Source organism: Homo sapiens, chromosome 5 (assembly GCF_000001405.40).
Source record: "Homo sapiens chromosome 5, GRCh38.p14 Primary Assembly".
NCBI classification, from domain to species: Eukaryota; Metazoa; Chordata; class Mammalia; order Primates; family Hominidae; genus Homo; species Homo sapiens.
This window is the reverse complement of record NC_000005.10, coordinates 12,318,147-12,339,245: the sequence shown is the minus strand read 5'-3', so window position 1 is coordinate 12,339,245 and position 21,099 is coordinate 12,318,147. Positions and strand designations below refer to the sequence as shown.

General features: G+C 36.8%; 5 annotated features.

The window, feature by feature from the left end:
* Positions 8,104-9,089: an enhancer, noted in NCBI's record as "OCT4-NANOG-H3K27ac hESC enhancer chr5:12330269-12331254 (GRCh37/hg19 assembly coordinates)". NCBI's record gives its function as "activates a minimal SCP1, AML or CMV promoter by ChIP-STARR-seq in naive H9 embryonic stem cells {active_cell/tissue: H9 hESC(naive)}" and the evidence as "EXISTENCE:reporter gene assay evidence [ECO:0000049][PMID:30033119]".
* Positions 14,641-15,537: an enhancer, noted in NCBI's record as "OCT4-NANOG-H3K27ac hESC enhancer chr5:12323821-12324717 (GRCh37/hg19 assembly coordinates)". NCBI's record gives its function as "activates a minimal SCP1, AML or CMV promoter by ChIP-STARR-seq in naive and primed H9 embryonic stem cells {active_cell/tissue: H9 hESC(naive and primed)}" and the evidence as "EXISTENCE:reporter gene assay evidence [ECO:0000049][PMID:30033119]".
* Positions 15,538-16,436: an enhancer, noted in NCBI's record as "OCT4-NANOG-H3K27ac hESC enhancer chr5:12322922-12323820 (GRCh37/hg19 assembly coordinates)". NCBI's record gives its function as "activates a minimal SCP1, AML or CMV promoter by ChIP-STARR-seq in primed H9 embryonic stem cells {active_cell/tissue: H9 hESC(primed)}" and the evidence as "EXISTENCE:reporter gene assay evidence [ECO:0000049][PMID:30033119]".
* Positions 16,593-17,452: an enhancer, noted in NCBI's record as "OCT4-NANOG hESC enhancer chr5:12321906-12322765 (GRCh37/hg19 assembly coordinates)". NCBI's record gives its function as "activates a minimal SCP1, AML or CMV promoter by ChIP-STARR-seq in primed H9 embryonic stem cells {active_cell/tissue: H9 hESC(primed)}" and the evidence as "EXISTENCE:reporter gene assay evidence [ECO:0000049][PMID:30033119]".
* Positions 18,049-18,549: an enhancer, noted in NCBI's record as "H3K27ac hESC enhancer chr5:12320809-12321309 (GRCh37/hg19 assembly coordinates)". NCBI's record gives its function as "activates a minimal SCP1, AML or CMV promoter by ChIP-STARR-seq in primed H9 embryonic stem cells {active_cell/tissue: H9 hESC(primed)}" and the evidence as "EXISTENCE:reporter gene assay evidence [ECO:0000049][PMID:30033119]".

Sequence of the window (21,099 nt, the reverse complement as noted above, 5' to 3'; positions counted from 1 at the left end):
GTCATTAAAAAATGCCTCCTTCTGTGTGAGCTGAGCCTGAGTTAGCTAAAGGGTATACAGGGGCCAACCAGAGAACAAAGTGGATGTTACTATTGAATAAAGGGATCCACAAAGCTGAAATAGATGAGTTCAGTAATGATTATCTTTCTACCTGATACAGAGTTTCTGGTGGGATGAATGAATTTCATTTGTTAAAGCTACATGCAGCCTCCATGACATTCGAATCTGAAAGAGTTCACTTACTTGTACATTTCCTGAGCCCTCTACCCTTCCCTACCCCAACATCAGCTTCCTTAAGGAGAGAAGGGACTAAATGCCACATGCACCTGTATGAGTATGCTGGGGAATCTTGGCAAGGAACGAGAATTGAATTTCTATCCCTACATTGAATACAGGTGGTTAGCTCACTATCCTACCCAGCCCTAAGAAGGAAGGAGGCCTTTGATTCAATCCATGGGGGTTGGCTAAGATTCACAATTAGGAAGGGAAGATAATATTACCTTGGGTTGGGCTAGGTCTCTTTGACCCAAATCAGTGTACTGCTGTGCTTGCTTTTTCACCTGAAAATAAAAGATCATCTACAAAACATTTTTAATAAACACCGTGCTTAATATTTCTGATAGTATCTAAAATGGTTGCAATAATTCCTGCCTTGATTTAAGGCAGGCCTTGTGACATTCTTTGATTAATAGAATGCATTGAAAATGATACTGTGCCAATAAAGGACCACGCCTTTAAGAAATGTGAAGCTTCCACCTCCCCTAAGAGGAGGCAACTGCAACGTAAGAAGTCCCACACCCTGAGATCATATAATATAAGGAAGCCCAATACAGCTCCCTCAAATAATTCTGCTTATTTACCTCTGGAGAGGACATTGTAGGGCCCTGCCCAGATCCTGGCCCACTCGTTACTCAATTGCTGGAAATATTGACTTCCTATTGCTGCCCGCTTCACCTCTTCTCCAGAAACCAACCTTTACATGAAAGGAGCCATCCTACCAAGAAGCCTTTTCAGGTTATTCATGGCCAGTTACCCTGCTTCAAAGAGGAAAACACTGCTGCAGTTGATGTTCCAGGGGCCTTTTCCTATTGATGCAGCCATGCCTAAACTTTTCTTGAGGGTATGTCTGTATTTAACTCCCTCTCAAGCTTCACTCTTTTGCTCACAGACTTGCCCAAAGAGCACTTCACCCATAACCATGGGTACTCACATCCCTGTGCCCATCTCTGTTTCTGGGGAATCTAACCTTAGGCAACTTGAGTGGAGGATACATGGTTGTGTTCATATACTGACGATTCACTCTGTGCTTTTTTGTACATTTGAACTAAGTAAAATGCTACTCAATATAATACTTTTAAAGGAGCACATGTCAATGGAGATAGGGCAGATACAGTGAACAAATATAAAATTTTGTGCAGTTTGTACCCAACAGATTTTAATAAAGTATAATATTTTATATGTGATTAGTTTTTAAAGAATCCAAAAATTAGAAAGAATGAAAAATAATACTATATTGCCAATACCCCAACCAGAATTAGCATGGATATATTAGACAATGCAAAAAAAGGATGCAAACGCCAATGAAGTCTTATGTTGTTTTTAAACTTATCCATGTAAATATGTAAAAACATGGAAAGTCAATTTTACAGGACAGAGATATAACTGCCTTCAGATACAATATTTTTAATAAAATAGCCTACATCATATATCCTATGGGATATATTTTAATCTTCTCTTTTCTTCTTGTTAACAGAAAATATGTTTCAAATACACTATTTTAAATTGTACCAAAGCAATATTTTTAGCCCTGCATATTCATGTATCTACATTACTATGTATCCTATGTCTCTGTCTTTTTTTACACTAACCTTAACCAACCCAGAATAAATTACTTTCCTTAAATCATACCAATGAGTTTTTATTTTTCCTTCCCCACTATACCAATTTTATAATTATAATGTTTACAACTGACATGAATAAGAAGAAAGCTCTAATCCCTAATTAAGATCAAATTGTCTTATGTCACCCAGATAATTAGAGAAACAGTTAAGATCATTCAGGTACCGAAAGGTAAAACATCTAAAAAAAATTCTACAATATTAGATCACAAGTATCATTATCTTATACAACACACAGAAAATAATCACATGCTTTTTATATATGACACTTTAGGACATTAAAGCAATTGAAAATGAAGCAAACTTTACTTTTCATTTTTCTAACCATCTTTGCAAAATTCTGAATATCTAAATTAGGTGAGAATTGTAACACAAAATTATTACTTGACTTTTTTCAAGAGGAATTATCTTGCTTTAAGTAAGTGAGAAAAAATAAATCACACTAACAATCAGGAAGATCAGGTCATGATTTTATTTGAATATCAACTGATCTTTGTGGGACCTAAACTACACTGCTAAATAATTATTAAAGCGCTAATATTTGATTCTTCTGGATCCATTTAGTTGACTCAATCTTTGTGGAAAATATTATGTTAAATAGCTGTAAATGAAAAAACCTCATTAGTTACTGGTTATTTTCAGGTTCCAGAGCACTATTTTATTTGCATTAAAATAATAAAAACAACTTTTAATTCCATACTAAATCTTATTCTCTAATAATTCTATTTTCCACCAGATAATACATCAATCATATGAATATATTCCTCCCAACAATAATGTGATTCAAAAATTTAATTTCAGAATTATTTAAACATTTGTATATTATTGAGGACAATTCATGATTGTCAATAGGGTTTTTAAGTACTAAAATATACAAAAATTACATAGCTATAATTAAGTGATTAAGAGACACCACTTTAATAGTGAGATAATGAGAAATAAATGATTTAAAAGTGATTTCTTAAAAAAAATACATTCCTAATATTTTAAGTGGGTTTATAAGCAAGCCACTTTGACTAATCCCTTTCTCTCCCTAATAGTCTTCCCCTAGCCTCTAGTAAATCTTAATTAGTTTACGTCTAATTATAACAAGAAGATCTCACATTGTTTAATTCCTTGCCCTCTTTCCTCTATCATTACCAAATTGTGATGGCAAGTTTCTGGAACCTGATATCGCTGTGCCTGACCTTTCTCTTCTGTAAGCACAATAGGAAGCAAAGTGAGCACTCAGTAAATGTTAAGGTTTTTTCTCACCTGACAAAACCCTTGATTAGCATAACTCGATTTTAGCCTGAGGACTGACTTTTCATTTCTCATTTGAATACATTGCAAAACTAAGTATTTCCTGCAAAAAAAAATTGCCTAGCTTTGTCTTTTCTTCTTTTTCTGCCTGAAGATAAAATTTCTTTCTTGAACCCCTGGCTGTGGAAGGCCTACGCATAAACAGACTTCCAGCCATCCCCTGCCTGTTGGTTAGGGATTCAGAGAATCTACCATGCCATATTCCCTTTTACTATCTCCTGCTTTCTAGTATAAAAATGTGTCACTACTATTGGGAAACGTTACATTAATCACTTTCCTAAATTATGAATACATATTTTAAAACCCTTATTTCCTAAGTATTTTCTCTTTTGCTCACTTCACATCAATTTCTTCAGTCCTTTCTGTAACTCAACAGCCATGTTTCTCTGTCAGATTGCAAAATCTGATTCACCTGATCTGATCATATATATCAGTATTTAAATTCATTTTAGGGGTAACTTCTTATTTTTAAATGCATTATTGAGATAATTTTCAACATATAAAATGTACATTTAAATGTTAAGGATCTTTTTAGTATATTCACAGATAAGGAAAAATACCGCCACAGTTAATGTTAGAATATTTTCCTCATTGCAAAAAGAAACCTTGTGCACTTCAGCTATTATCCCCTATCCCCACATATATGCACCAGCCCCTAGCAATTACTAATCTACTTTCTGTCTCTATATAGTTTCCTGTTCTAAGCATTGCACTGGAATGAAATATGTGGTCTTTTTTGACTAGCTTCTTTTATTTAGCGTAGCATTTTCAAGGTTTATCCATGTTATTGTAGATATTAATACTTCATTCCTTTGCAAGGCCAAATAATATCGCATTGCGTGTGGCAATCAAAATGAGTGACTGAGGCATCATTCCCAACTCATTGGGTTTTCTTGAGTGAGTCGGAGGATGTACCCAGGAAAAACATAAGTTACAGACACATCTATGGCTGTTTTTTTCCAAAGAGGTTCTCAGGAAGTTTAGTAATATATTTACACATTTTCCTTAAAAAAGCGAAAAGGACAAATCTGGAGGCATTCCATTACCTGACTTCAAACTATATTATATGGCTGTAGTCTCCAAAACAGGATGGTACAGGTTTAAAAAATAGGCACATAGGCCAGGCGCAGTGGCTCAGGCCTGTAATCCCAGCACTTTGGGAGTCCAAGGTAGGGGGATCACGATGTCAGGAGTTCGAGACCAGCTTGATCAACATGGTGAAACCCTGTCCCTACTAAAAATACAAAAATTAGCCTGGTGTGGTGGGGGGCGCCTGTAATTCCATCTACTCAGGAAGCTGAGGCATGAGAATTGCTTGAACACGGGAGGTGAAGGTTTCATTGAGTCAAGATTGCGCCACTGCACTCGAGCCTGGGCGACAGAGTGGGACTCCGTCTCAAGAAAAAAAAAAAAAAAAATAGGAACATAGACCAATGGAACAGAATAGAGAACCCAGAAATTAAGCCAAATACTTAACAGCAAACTGATCTTTGACAAAGCAAACAAAAACATCAAGTGGGGAAAGGACGTACTATTCAACAAATGGTGCTGGGATAATTGGTAAGCCACAGGTAAAAAAATGAAACTGGATCCTCATCTCTCACCTTATGTAAAAATCAACTCCAGATGGATCAAAGACTTAAATCTAAGACCTGAAACCATAAAATTCTAGAAGACAGCATTGAAAAAACCCTTCTAAACATTGGCTTAGGAAAAGACTTCATGACCAAGAACCCAAAATCAAATGTGACAAAAGCAAAGATAAATATATAAGACTTAATTAAACTAAGAAGGTGCTGCACAGCAAAATAAATAGTCAGCAGTGTAAACAGACAACCCACAGAATGGAAGAAAATCTTCACTAACTATGCATCTGACAAATGACTGATATCCAGAATCTTCAAGGAACTCAAACAAACCAGCAAGGAGAAAATAAATAATCCCATCAGAAAGTGGGCTAAGAGCATGAATAGACAATTCTCGAAAGACGATATACAAATGGCCAACAAACGTATGAAAAAAATGCTCATTATCACTAATTATCAAGAAAGTGCAAATCAAAACTACAATGCAATACCACCTTACACCTGCAAGAATGGCCATAATTTAAAAATACAAAAATAATAGATGTTGGCATGGCTGTGGTTGAAAAGGGAACACTTCTACACTGCTGGTAGGAACGTAAACTAGTACAGCCACTATGGAAAACAGTGTGGAGATTCCTTAAAGAGCTAAAAGTAGATGTACCATTTGATCCAGCAATCCCACTAATGGGTATCTACCCAGAGGAAAAGAAGTCATTATATGAAAAAAAAACACTTGCACATGCATGTTTATAAAAGCACAATTTGTAATTGCAAAAATATGGAACCAGCCCAAATGCCCATCAATCAATGAATGGATAAAGAAAATGTGCGCTCTCTCTCTCTCTCTCTCTATATATATATATATATATTATATATATACACACACCATGGAATAATACTCAGCCATAAAAAGGAATGAAATAATGGCATTCTTAGTGACCTGGATGGAGCTGGAGAGCATTATTCTAAGTGAAGTAACTCAGGAATGGAAAACCAAACATAGCCTATTCTTACTTATAAGTGGGAGCTAAGCTATGAGGATGCAAAGGCATAAGAATAATACGATGAACTTTCTGGACTTGGGAGGAAGGTTGGGACAGGTGTGAGGGATAAAATACTACACAGTGGGTTCAGTGTACACTGCTTGGGTAACAGGTGCACCAAAATCCCAGAAATCGCCACTAAAGAACTTACCCATGTAAACAAACACCACCTGCTCCCCAAAAGCTTATTGAGATAAAAATAAAAAATAAATAGAATTTTAAAAAAGGATAGAGCAGCAGTGAGATGAGTGATTACACACTTCTGAGACTTTAGTTAGTGCCCAGTAAATCTACATTTTACATAAGAGATGGAGAACATTTGAAGAAAAAGAGACTAGAAAAAACAGAGGCCTCTGGGAGAGTGAAGAAATGATTAATCTCATTTTATCTTTGTTTGGTTCCTGGGAAGATAAGCTAGTAATTGAGGACTAAGCTCTGATTTTATCTTATCTTGCCCAAATTCCTTTCTAAGAGGCCTGGAGTCATGCCCTACAAACCATAAATTCTCATCCGATGGGTTTTATTTAACCCTATATATTGTGACTTACTTTCCAATCTGATTCTGGCATAACATTACATGACAAAGGAGAAAAGCAAGCTATTTTATACCAAAACATGTTTCTTTGCCATATTTTGAAATGGCCCTGCAAAGCCATCCTTTTGGGGGGTAAATTTGCATTTGTAAAGAATCTCTATTAACATAACCAGTTCTATTTCTTACAAGCCCTCCCAATCCTGAAGAGATTAACTGAGAGCCTAGCACCTTTTAAAAGTCTCAACAGGAAATATTTGTCGTCTATTGTCTCTAAGGGCAGCCACTATGAGACTTCAAAAGAACCTTGGTCTCCACAATCTTTTTCTTACCCTCAACATTTCCTTTCTATTGATTCCAGGTCTTTCGACAAATGTAACTAAGCGTCCACCAGAAAATGTTTGCATTTACCTATAACCTGGAAGCCCCTGGACCAAACCAATGTATTTCTCAAACATATTTGATTGATTCCTTATGCTTCCCTAAAATATATAAAACCAAGCTGCACCCCGACCACTTTGGGCACGTGTTCTCAGGACCTCCTGAGGGCTGTGTCATGGGCCACGATCATTCATATTTGGCTCAGAATAAATATCTTCAAATATTTTTGAGTTTGACTCTTTCCGTTGACATAATAAACTATCAGTGTGGAGTCTTTTGAAAGGGCTGGTTTCTATTTAGCACTTAGGGAAGAAAGACTAATGATGCTTAGTGAGGGAGGAGGTATAATAAGGTGAACTTCCCATCTCATTATGGCAGTGAACTCAGCGTCCCCTTGGCCAAAATGGGGTCCATTCAGTCAGTTGTAGGCTTAGAACTTAATTTGTATTTCTCACAGGTATATTCATATTTTGCTTATCCATTCATCACTTGATGGACAGGGGTTATTTCCCCACTTAGCTTTTATGAAAAATGCTGTTATAAACAGTCATGTATAAGTTGTTGCAAGGACATATGTTTTCAATTATTTGGGACATTTACCTTGAAGCGTACTTGCTGTTTTATGTAGTAACTCTATGTTTAATTGTTTGAGACTGTCAGACTGTGTTACAAAATGGCTGCAATCCTTAATTGACTAAGGATTTCAATTGCTGCATTTCCTTACCAATACTTATTGTCTGGCTTTTTAAATTCTAGCCATTCAAGCGGGTGTGAAGTAATATCTCATAGTGGTTTTAATTTTTATTTCCCTGATCAATGATGATGAACATCTTTACATAGTTTTATCACTCATTCAGCTATCTTATTTGGGGAAATGTCAGTTCAGATACTTTGTGAATTTTTTCTTTGGGTTGTTTTGATATGGCTGCAATGAATGGAGGAACACCAGGGTTCTTGGTCCTTGTGCCGAATTAGATTAAAAATGACATGGAGACACGTGGAGTGGTTTTAAGGAGCGGAGAGTTTAACAGGCAAGAAAGAAGGGAGAAGAAAGATGAAACAAGCTCCCCTGTACAGAGATAGAGGGAGAAAGGGGTCCAAAGTCGAGAGAGGAGACCCCAAGTGCACAGATACCAGCCGGTTATATGAGGAGGCTGGAGGAGGCGGTGTCTAATTTGCATAGGGCTCAGGGGATTGGTTTGACCAGGCATGTTATTCACCTAGCCCATGAAAAAACTGGCCCTCCCATCCTAGCCTTTTAATATGCAAATGCAGGGTGCCGTGATGTTCTACACACATGGGGATATGTGAGGGCGACCTTGCTGCCAGGCAGATGTGGGGGCAAGGAAGAAGAGGGCGGGAATCACCCTGTTTTGTGGACCCAGTTTCTAATGGCTAGCATTTGCATATCAAAAGCTGCCAGCCAGGCTCTAAGAGTGGAGGCTTTCCTGCTAGACAGGAAACTTTTCTAAAGCTGCTTTAAAAGAAACAACTTTCCAAGGACCTCTTTTCTTCTCCATCTGCCTAAAATAATTTCTTAATAACTCCTACCACAGTTTGTCTTTTTAATATTGAATTTAAAGAGATCTTTATATATTCTGAATAAAAGTCTCATCAAATATGTAATTTTTCTTGCATTCTATGGATTGTCTTTTTACTTTCCTGATGATATCCTCAGAATGCAATGATTATTAATTTTGATGAAGTCTAATTTAAATGTATTTTTTCCTTTTACTTACTATTTTTGCTTGTGCATTTGGTGTCATATCTAAGAGTCTCTTGTCAAATCTAAGGCCACGAAGTTTTATCTCTATGTTTTCTTTTAAAAGTTTTATAGTTTTAGCACTTATGAGGCAGGATGAATAGTCCAGGAAGTGACCATGTTCTTGGGATGCAGCAACCATGGTAACCATACAGTCAACACAATAAGCCTCAGCATCGGCTCTGTAATTGAGCTCAGTCAAGCTAAGCTACCTTCTAGAGAGCATGCACATTTTGATTTTACCTGTCCTCAAACTGACACTTTGTTCATAACAATAGTAGAAAACACACCCTTGGGTGGAGATTTAAGATGCTAATGAGACGTGTGACATATGAACAAGCATGTACAGCTACCGCACATGGGAACCCAGAGGACCACCCAGAACATGCTTACTAGTAACCTCTTTCCACCTCCTCATGAATAATCAGGTAAGGCTTCCATGAAGGGAGTCTACCTACTGCCAGTCTTTGTTGTCTCATCCTTACAAGCAGCCCATCTTGAATTTTCTCTCATGGTGTACTGTCTATTCTGCACCTAACTTTCAAAATATTATTTATTTTTTTGCAATAAATTATTCTATGCTACACCTCCTTTGCTGTGTCTCTTGTTTAAATTCTTTTAAACCAAGAAGACAAGAACCAAAGTATCACATCAGCTGTCAACACTTATGTTAAGGTTTCTATTCATTTTGATTTTTTTTCCTATAAGGTATGAAGTAAGGCTCTACCTTTATTCTTTGCATGTATCTATGCAATTATCACAGCATCATTGGTGAAAAGAGTATTCTTTCCCACTTGGATGGTAATTGCACCTTTGTCAAAAATTAGTTAACCAGATACATGAGTTCATTTTTGGACTCCTAATTGTTTTTGTTTGTTCGTTTGTTTTGTTTTGTTTTGTTTTTTGAGACAGAGTCTTGCTCTGTTGCCCAGGCTGGAGTGCAGTGGCACGATCTAGGCTCACTGCGAGCTCCGCCTCCCGGGTTCACGCCATTCTCCTGCCTCAGCCTCCTGAGTAGCTGGGATTACAGTCGCGTGCCAACACGCCTGGCTAATTTTTTTGTATTTTTAGTAGAGACGGGGTTTCACCGTGTTAGCCAGGATGGTTTCGATCTCCTGAACTTGTGATCCGCCCGCCTTGGCCTCCCAATGTGCTGGGATTACAGGCCTGAGCCACTGCGCCCAGCACCTAATTGTTTTATTGCTCTATATGTCTATACTTATTCCAGTGTTATACTATCTTATTAACATTGATTTTAAGTAAGCTTTAAAATAGAGAGGTGTGAGTCCTCCAACTTTTGTTTTTCAAGATTGTTTTGACTATTCTGGGTCTCCTTCAATTCCAGGTTATCAATTTCTACAAAGAATTAAACAGAGATACTGAATTTGTAGGGCAGTTTGAGGAGTGTTGCCCTCTTAACAATGTTAATCTTCTGATCCATGAACATGAGATGTTTTTCTAATTATTTAGATCTTCTTTAATTTCTTTCAACAATGTTTTGTAGTTTTCAGAGTACAAATTCTGCACTCTTTTGTTGAGTTTATTTGTAAGTGTTCTAATATTTTTAATGCCATCATAAATGAAAGTTTTTGAAAATTTTATTTTCAGATTACTCATAGAATGTGTATGGAAATGCAATTGGTTTTTGTATCTTGATCTTATATCCTTTTACCTTACTCAATTCACTTATTTCCAAGATAAATGAGTTATCTTAAAATGACTAAAGTAGTTATTGAAATAATTTTCACTTATTCCAATAGTTGTTTAATTGAATTTCATATTACTATTTATTTACAAGTTTATGTCATACATCTAGATGCCTTTTAGTTCTTTTATTCTCTTTTTTTCTTTTCCATCTAAATGCTCAGACTGGAATTGCCAATATGATGTTGAATAGAAATGGCAAGAACAGTGCTGCAGCACTATTCAGGATGGCAAAAACTTGGAACCAACCAAACTGCCCATCAATGATAGAATGAATAAAGAAACTATGGCACATTTATGCCATGAAATACTATGCAGCCATAAAAAAGGATGAGCTCAAGTCCTTTGCAGGGACATGGATGAAGCTGGAAACCATCACTCTCAGCAAACTAACACAGGAACAGAAAACCAAACACTGCAAGTTCTCATTCATAAGAAGGAGTTGAACAATGAGAGCATATGGACACAGGGAGGGGAATATCACACACTGGGGCCTGTCTAGACCCACACTGGGGTGGGGGTCTAGGGGAGGTACAGCCTTAGGATAAATTCCTAATGTAGATGATGAGTTGATGGGTGCAGCAAACCACCATGGCACCTGTATACCTATGTAACAAAGCTGCACGTTCTGCACATGTCTCCCAGAACTTAAAGTGTAATTTTAAAAAGGAATGGCAAGAACAGACATCTATATCTTGTTCCTGATCTTAGAAGAAAATCATTAAGTTTTTTACCATTAAGTCTGATATTATTAGCTATGGGCTTTTTATAGATATCCTTTGTATTAGTCCGTTTTTACATTTCTGGTAAAGACATACCCGAGACTGGGCAATTTACAAAAGAAAGAAGTTTAATGGACTTAAGTTCCATGTGGCTGGAGAGTCCTCACAATCATGGCAGAAGGCAAGGAAGGAGCAAGTCATTTCTTACATGGATGGCAGCAGGCAAAGAGAGAGCTTGTACAGGGAAACTCCCCCTTATAAAACCATCAGATCTTGTGAGACTTATTCATTATCACAAGAACAGCACAGGAAACACCTACCCCCATAATTCAATTACCTCCAAACGGGTCCCTCCCACAACACATGGGAATTTAAGATGAGATTTGAGTGAGGACACAGCCAAACCATATCATCCTTTATCAGGTTGAAAAAGTTCTATCTCAATTTTCCTAATTGTTTATGTCATGAGAGGATGTTGTGTTTCATTAAATTCTTTTTCTGCATCTAAGTAAATAATCATGTGATTTATTTTTACTCTATTGATATTGTTACCAGAAAGAGCAGATGTCCGAGTTCTTGTCTAACTTGGAAGAACAATTTTGACCAAGAGACAGTACAAACATAGCAGAGAACTTTATTGAAATGAAATACAGTGTAGAGAGCTTATTGTAGGAAAAAAAATTTAATAAAGAGGGATGCCCCAATGGAGCAGTGGGTTGATCATGCAGGGAAAACAGCTCTGAAGGTTCTGTGCAATCCCCACCTCTGCCTCAAGTCTCCGTCTTTTTCCTTTGTCTAGTGTTCCCACTCCTGCCTTAAGTTCCACCTTACTCCCTACCCATAGGATTGCAGGATCCTCCCTTACTGTTGGTTAATGTGCATACTTGGGCTGGTGATAAGGTTTGACTCTGTGTCCCCACCAAAATCTCATCTCAAATTGTAATCTCCATAATTCCCACGTGTCAAGGGAGGGACCACATGAAAGGTGACTGGATCATGGCAGTGGTTTTCCCCATGCTGTTCTTGTGATAATGAATGAGCTCTTGCAAGATCTGATGGTTTTATAAGGCAATTTTCCCTGTTCTTGCTTGCTCTTTCTCACCTGCCACCATGTAAGATGTGCCTGCTTCCCCTTCTGCCATGATGGTAAGATTCCGGATGCCCCCCCAGCCATGCAGAACTGTGAGTCAATTAAACCTCTTTTGTTTATAAGTTACCCAGTCTCGGGTACGTCTTTATAGCAGTGTGAGAACAGACTAATACAACTGGTAATTCAATACGAGTCTTGCCTGACAGCAGCCCTAATAATTACCGCCACCCCAGGAAGGTTGTGTAGTGGTCAAATCTTTACCTCTTGTGCCTGCATATCTCTTTGGAATTTCCTTATTTGCCCTAATCTGTACTCATGATGCCAGGTTGCTCTTAGGAATGTGCATGTAGCTAGCGATATTCTGACATTGTAATGGCAGAGTGAATGATAATTGTGGCACCTTAAGAGGTGTTCTGGGATGTTTCTTTCTGCCTAAGTACTTCCTCTTCTTCCTAACCACATTTGACTTAGACCCACCCACTCCAGCATTAGAGATGCTATTAATATGCAAATTTTGGTTGGCCCCTCTAGGGAGTGGGTAGTGAACCTTCCCAGGCTTTTCCTTTCTCAGGAGCCTCCCCCATGTTCATGTCTAGCTATCTACCTACTCTAACAAATGATGTTTTACATTCGTTGAATTTCACATGTTGAATTAACCTTGCATCTCTGGAAACATCCCGTTTGGTCATCGTATATAATTATTTTTATATGTTGCTGTATTTGATTTAGTTTTATTTCGTTAAGGATTTTAGAAAACATATTCATAAGAGATATTGGTCTGTATGTTTCTTTTCTTGTGATATCTTTATTTGGTTTTGGTATCAGGATAAACTGGCCTCATAAAAATAATTGGAAACTGTTCATCCTCTTCTATCTTTTGAAAGAGTTTGTGGAGAATTTGTATTTTTTTTTTTTAATGTTTGGTGGGATCCAGTAGTAAACTTCTGGGACTGACCTGTCCTTTGTGGGTATTTTGTTAATTAATACTTCAAACTCTTTGCATGTTATGGTTCTGTTCATAATGTGTTTCCTTTTGAGTAAGTTTTAGTCATTCGTTTGTACCCTTCTAGGAGTTTGTCCATTTCATTTAAGTTATATAATTTTGGGGTATACGGTTGTTCATAGTATTCTTTCATAATCCTTTTTCTTTCTGTAAGATTGGTAGTAATGTGCCTGCTCTCATTTCTGATTCTAGTAAATTAAGTATTCTCTCTCTCTTCTTTATTTTTATTAATCTAGCTAACAATTTGACAATTTTGTTGTTTAGATAAACATTTTTGGCTATGTTGATTTTCTGTTATTTTTTATTCTCTATTTTATTAATTTATGCTCTATTTTTTATTGTCTGCTATTTTTATTTTATTAGATAAATTTATGTTTATAATCCTGGTAGATTGACAATTTTATTATTCCGAAATGTCCCTCCTTGTAGTTAGTAACTTTTTTGTTGTTCTAAAGTCTATTTTCTCTGATATCTATATAGCCACTCTAGCTTATTTTGGTTTCTAGTTTCATGATATATCATTTTCTATACTTTTACTTTTATCCTAGTTGTATCTTTGAATTTGGGTCTGTCAAATTAAGTCTTTTTCTTTTTCTTTTTCTTGACTAATCTGGCTAAAGATTTGATGATTTTGTTGTTCTCTTCAGAGAAACGTTTAGCTTTATTGATTATTTCAATTTTTATTTTCTGTTTTATTAATATATACATCTGTGTCTCCTGTATAGAACATATTTTAATCCAATCTTATCTCTACCTTTTGATTAGATTGTATCATCCATTCACATTTGTTATTATTATTATTGATATACCTGGATTTGTCTGTCATTTTGCTTTTTGTTTACCTATATATCTCACGCATTTTTTGTTCCTCTATCCCTCTTTCCCTGACTCATCTTTCATTAAATGGATATCTAAGCATTTTAATTCATTTATATTTTCACTATATTTTTGAGTTAAAAGTTTGAAGTTACTCTGTAGTTTACCATATATAACCTAATTTATCAGAATCAACATTAAATTATTACTTAACTACCTGTAATGATACAGCTTTGTTCTACCTCCTCCATGATGTTATTAGTATATATATTACATTTAAATGTTTTTTAACTTTTTATTTTTTTATTTTTGGGTGTCTATAGCAGGTGTATATATTTAGGGCTTGCATGAGATATTTTGATAAGGGCATGCAATTCATAATAATCACATCAGGGTAAATGGGGTATCTATTACCTGAAGCGTTTGTCCTTTGTATTACAATAATCCAATTATATCCTTTCAATTATTTTTAAATGTGTAATTAATTTTCAACTATAGTCTCCCTGTTGTGCTAGCAAATACTAGGGCTAATTTACTTTTTCTAACTACTTTTTTGTACTCATTAATCATTCCCAACTCCTTCCCCACTGTTCCCCACTACTTTCTCAGCCTCTGGTAACCATCCTTCTACTCTCTATATCCGTGAGTTCAATTATTTTGATTTTTAGCCCCTACAAATAATTGTGAATATATGAAGTTTTTCCTTCTGTGCCTGGCTTAAACATTTCTCTATCTTGTAGTCACAGCTATACTTTTATATATAATATTTTCTCCTTGCTTCTCTTAACTAATTTGAAGGGCAATTGCATATGCTTTAACAATTTTTAAATTGCATATGCAATTGTTTTTTAAATCGATTATGAGAAACAAGGGGAAAAATATGCATTCATACTGATATATAATCATGTAATTACTCTTACTGATGTGGATTCAAATAAATGACTGAAGTTAAATCCTCTTAGGTTGAAGAACTGTTTTAGCAGTTCTTTTAAGGTGGGTCTTCTAGCAAAAAAAGTCTCTTAGCTGATGTTTATCCTGAAAAGTTTTTATTTTACCTTTCTTTTTGAAAAATGAACTTCGATGGATGTATGATCCTTGGTTGAAAGTTTTTTTACTTTGTTTTTGTTTTTGATTTTTGAGCACTTTGAAAATACTACTCTGAACTGAATTGTTTATACTGAGATGTTGAAATGGCTCTGTTGTCTGGGGTATATACCCTGGCTCTGGGTCTTAGTTAAGAAAGAATTCAGAAGATAGACACACATGAGGAGTGGGTTTAGGAGTGGAAAGTTTAATAGAAAAAGAAGAAAAGGGAGATAAAAAGCTTCTTCATGCTGAGAAAGCGGGTTGCCCAAAAGAGGGTGTCTTGTTTGCAGTGAACACAATCGGTTTTGTACGGAGGCTTGAGGAGGAAGTGATTGATTTACCTAGGGCTCAGGGGATTGGTTTGACCAGGTGTGCCATTCACATAGCCCAGGAAAAGACTGGCCCTCCCATCCTAGTCTTTTATTATGCAAACGTGGCTTCCACCTGGCCGTGGCCTTGATACTCGTACACGTGGTTTTACCTGGAGACTGCCATGACACCCATAAAAGGGGTGACAAGGAAAAGAGGGCAGGAGAGGCCATACTGAATGTACATGGCTTCCAGGTACAGCTGCTGTCATTTACATATAAAAGCTCCTAGTTTGCATATCTATGCCTGACTTCTCAGGCTGCTTTCTGTTAGAGAATAAATAGTTTAGAGGCTGCTTTTTATTAAAGGAAAATTCCACTGAGAACTTTCCCCCTTTCTAGCTGCCTAAAAATGATTTCATAATAACTCCTGTAGTAATGTCAGCTGTAAAAATTATTTGAGCTCTATCTTATTTCAGGTTGCTGTAACAAAATACTGAGTAACATACACAACAGGAATTTATTGTTTACAGTTCTTACAATTGTAAGAATTATACTCTCAATTATACTTACAATACTGAGATACTGAATCAGCTTCGTTGTCTGGGGTATATACCCTTATGGTTGTAAGAATTGTAAAAAATTGTCTAAGATCAAGATACTGGCAGATTCAGTGCCAAATTTCCAAACTTCCAAAGACCCCATCACTCAATACCATCACCTCGGTAGTTAGGATTTCAACATATAAACTTTTGAGAATCATAAGCATTCAGTCTATTGCAAGCTCCTTTGTAAGTAATGTGTCACTTTTCCTGCTTTTAAGATTTTCTCCTTGTATTTGACTTTCAATATTTTTACTGTAATGTATCTCTTTGTGAATGTCTTTACATAGATCCTACTAGGAGTTTGTTGAGTTTCTAGGTGTATAGCTTACTGTTTTCCAATAAATTTGGAATATTTTCAGGTATTACTTCTTTGAATATTATTCTGCTTTTTTCATTCTCCTTTCTTTCTCTGGAAGTCCCATTACACTTCTGATGGTGTGTTCAACCATGGCTATATTTATCTTAGGTTCTTTTATTTTTCTTGATTCATTTTTCTCTATATTCTTCATTTAGCATAATCGCCATTGACATGCCTTTGAGTTTTATTATTCTTTCTTTGCAAGTTGAAATATCTTTTTGAATTGTTTTGGAGAATTATTCATTTCAGTTATTGTACTTTTTAACTGTAAAATTTCCTTTTAGTTCTGTTTTACAACATTTGTCTCTTTATTAATATTATCAAATTCATGAATCATTGTAATCAGAACTTTCTTTAATAATAGTTTTCTTTTTTAATTTTGTGAACATGATTATAATAGCCCCTTTAAATTCTTTTTCTGATACATATGACATCTGGTCGCCTTGACAGGCTGTTTCTGTTGCTTGCTTTTTTCTAGTGAGTAAGTCATGCTTTCCGGTGTTTTTGCATGCCTCAAAATTTCTGTTGGAAACTGGCTATCTTTGATAATATGGCAACTCTGGTTACTTCTGCTTTCACTCAATGTATGTTATCATTATTGGCTTGTTTATGTGTTTAGTGACTGGCCTAATTATTTTGGTGAAGTCCATTTTTCCCTCAAATTGTTAAGCTTTTAATGTTACTCCTCAGGGAAACTCAGCTTTGGGAACACTCGCAGTCACCTTGCATGACAGTGGCTTTTGTAAGGCTTTCTTCCACTTTCTCTGACACATCCAGCTATTAAACTTTACTAATTGCCAGCTGATTGCTCCATTGTTTTCAAAAATGTCCTGGGGCACAAATTGCTCTACAAAGTAATCTATTCAAAGTCTGACTCCTTTGAAAAAAAACATTCTGAGGTCAGTGTTTGACATTTTTTTCTGACATCTGGAGGGCTCCTCCATGGTGTTTTATTTCTCCTCTGTAATCTAACCAGCCTACAGTTTAGCCTGTATCTGGAATCTCTTCCTATTTATCTTATCCCACAAATTTCATTATTTTTGAGAGTACATTAAGGTTGAACTTCCCCAAGATTTGTTGGAAATAAAGTCAGTTCTTTGGGGAAAAGATTAAGAACTATCTGTTTTACGGTTTCCTTCTCCCCCCAGGCAAAATCTCTAAACCACAGACAATGGCAAGCTTCTCTCTGAGGGATATTCTTGGTTTAGTGAAAGGTGGGCAAGAGCCTGAGGTCTTCTTGTCTTATCTCTCCCTGTATGGAGCCATTGCTTCAAACTGGGGATATGGATGTTAGGGCCCCAGTATTCTCAGTACTATTAATGTCAGTAAAGTAATGAAAGTTTTCTAAAAAGGGCTCAGTTTTCTAAGTAATTTGTATGCTACACCAAAATAAGTTTATCATGCTCATGACCTTCTTATGAAAGAGTCTTATAATACTCATGATCCATGAAAGAAAATCAGACCAATATTTGACATTCTGTATTCTTTATTACAGAAAGATGTAGAGGTTAGAGGCATTGACCACCCCCTCCAGCCATGCAGTTGAAAATTTGCATATAAATTTTGAGTGACCAAAAACATAACTACTAATAGCCTACTGTTGGCCAAAAGCTTTAATGAAATTGATCAACACTTATTTTGTATGCTATCTCTATTATATAGTGTATTCCTATAATACAGTAAGCCAGATTTTTCAAATGTTAAGAAAATCAGAAGAGAAAATATATTTACTATTCATCAAGTGGAGGTGATCCATTATAAAGGTCTTCACCCTCATCATCTTCACACTGAGTAGGCTGAGAAGGTGGAAGAAAAGGAGAGTTTGTCTTGCTGTCTCAGGGGTGGCAGAGGCAGAAAAAAACCTGCATGTAAATGGACACACAACCTCAGCTTCCTCATCTATACAGGGGACTGAATCAGGGTCTCCTATATCTGGTTTTGCACCCTCTTGGAGGCTCAATTAAAAATATACATATTAGGTGGAATAGCTGCCAATAACAGATCAAGATGGCTGGTACACTTATAAAAGAACTTCAGAGGGAAGGCACTGAGAGCTGATGGAGGAAAGACACAGAAGCTGGGCTGAAGAGGGAGGAAGGCGGGAACCCTGCCCAGGGCTATCCACATCCCGACTCCTTCCTTGCTTCCAGTGACTCCTGGTGAACCTGTGAGTTGAACTGGCAAGGAGCAACTGGCTCCTGACACTAGCCTCTGGAATCCTGGCTGAAGGAGACCCCTCAACCACCACAGACACTCCAGTTGGCAGGGAGAGGTCCTTAGAGAAGTGGTGATGGTAGCACACTGGCTGAGGCAAAGCAAAAAGTGTTTGTTGTGGGAGTCTCTATAGCAGAGCACAACCAGGGAAGCTTATCTCCCTAGCCTCAACTTGCTCCCACAGGAGACTTTAGCCCTAGGGGAACTATCAGACCTAAACTCTGCAGGGCAGTCTTGCCCATCAGACAGGGCTGGTCTGATCTGAGCATTCCTTGGTCTGCTGGCCTCTCCTGGGTCCTTAACCTGTTTCTGCTTGCTTCCACGGTAGTCTCAGATGCCCTGGGGGACTGAATCATAACCCCTATACTGGCAGACGTGCCTGACCAGCATAGAGCTGTAGCAGGGCAGCCCCCACAGCCATACGTTAGCCCATCCACTTCCTCCTCACACTGTAGCTTCACCCAGGCCTACAGCAACCTCCCACATCTTTTTGCTAGCAGCTGGGTAGGCTTTGCCTTCCTTGCCCCACCAGCACACGTGTAATGTGTGCACTCTGTCCTGCCACTGCTGGAGAGGTTGTGGGGAAAAAGGAACATTTATATACTGTTGGTGGGAGTGTCAGTCAGTTCAACCACTGTGGAAAACAGTGTGGCAATTCCTCGAAGACCTAAAGACAAAACTACCATTCGACCTAGCAATTTCATTCCTTAGTAGATACCCAAAGAAATATAAATCATTCTATCATAAAGACACATGCATGCATATGTTCACTGCAGCACTATTCACAATAGCAAAGACATGGAATCAATCTACATGTCCATCAATGGTAGACTGGATAAATAAAATGTGGTACATACATACCATGGAATACTATGCAGCCATAAAAAGAACACGATCATGTCCTTTGTAGGAACACAGATGGAGCTGGAGGCCATCATTCTTAGCAAACTGACACAGGAACAGAAAACCAAATATTGCATCTTCTCACTTATAAGTGCGAGCTAAATGATGAGAACACATGGACACATAGAGAGGAGCAACACACAGTGGCTTTCTATTAGAGGCGTCTATTGGAGGGTGGAGGATGGAGGGTGGAAGGTGGGGGAGGATCAGGAAAAATAACTAATGGATGCTAATCTTAATACCCCTAATCCATGAGTTTACCTGTATAACAAACCTGCACATGTACCCCTGAACTTAAAATGAAAGTTAAATAAATAGACATACAGAATTGACATCCATGTTGTCAAGAGTCAATGTATATGTATATGTATGTCTGTAAATGTGTATTTTTATTCAGCATATATATTTTAGTATAGCACTTTCCAACTTACTTTGTAAACAAATGTTGCTATTAAAAATGATTAAAGTGGCCATGTGTGGTGTGTCACCCCTGTAATCCTAGCACTTTGGGAGGCCAAGGTGGGAGGATCCCTTTAGGTCAGGAGTTTGAGACCAACCTGGTCAACATAGCTAAACCCTGTCTCTACAAAACAAAATAAAATAAATAAGAAACATTTTCAAATTATCCAGTCATGGTGGCATGTTCTTGTAACCCTGCTTACTTGGGAGGCTGAAGTGCGAGGATTTTTTGCTTGAGCCCAGGAGTTTAGGGTTGTAGTGAGCCAAGATTGCACCACTGGACTCCAGCCTGGGTGACAGAGGGACCCTGTCTCAAAAAAAAAAAAAAAAAAGTGAGAAAGGCATTATTTTAATTAAGTTTGGATTTAAAAAATTTTATTGTTATTAATTGCATATTTGTTGATATTTATGGGACACAGTGTGATGTTTCAATATATGTGTATATTATATAATAATCAAATCAGGATAATTAGCATATCCATCACCTCAAACACCTGTCTCTTAGGTGAGAACATTCCAAATTCTCTCTTCTAGATCTTTTGAAATATACAATGTATTATTGTTAATTATAATCACCCTACTGTGCAATAGAACAGCGGAACATATTCCTTCTACCTAACTATAACTTTGTACCATTAACCAACCTCTCACCATAATCTCACCCTCCCACACCTTCCCCAGCCTATTTCCATAAGATCAGCTTTTTCAGATTCTACCTATGAGTGGTATTTGTCCTTCTGTGCTTGGTTTATTTCACTTAACATAATGTCCTCTAGGTTCATTCAGGTCACATAAATAACAGGATTTTATTCTTTTTTATGGCTGAATTGTATTACATTGTGTATACACACCACATTTCTTTTTATCTATTCATCCACTGATGAATACTTAAACTGATTTTACACCTTGACTATTGTGAATAGAGCTGCAATAACGTGGGAGTGGAGATATTTCTTTGACATGCCGATTTCATTTCTTTGGATATATATGCAGTAGTGGGGATTTTTTAATCCTGTGGTAATTTTATTTTTATTTCTTGTAGGAAACCTCATACTATTGTTCATAATGCAGGGAGATTTTATATTGTTCATAGTGCAGAGAGATTTTAAAAACCACATAGTCAATTATACAAAGCAGCAAAATTTAGAGCAAATAATATTTTAAATGAAAATATTAATTTCACTTCTATTAAAGTCACAGAAGTATATAGATAGTGTCTGTTTTAAAACTTATATTTAGATTAAGAGATATTGGTGTGAACTAACATTAATTTTGAAATGGATAGATGAGGTGGATAGATAGATATACATATATGCATACAGATAAA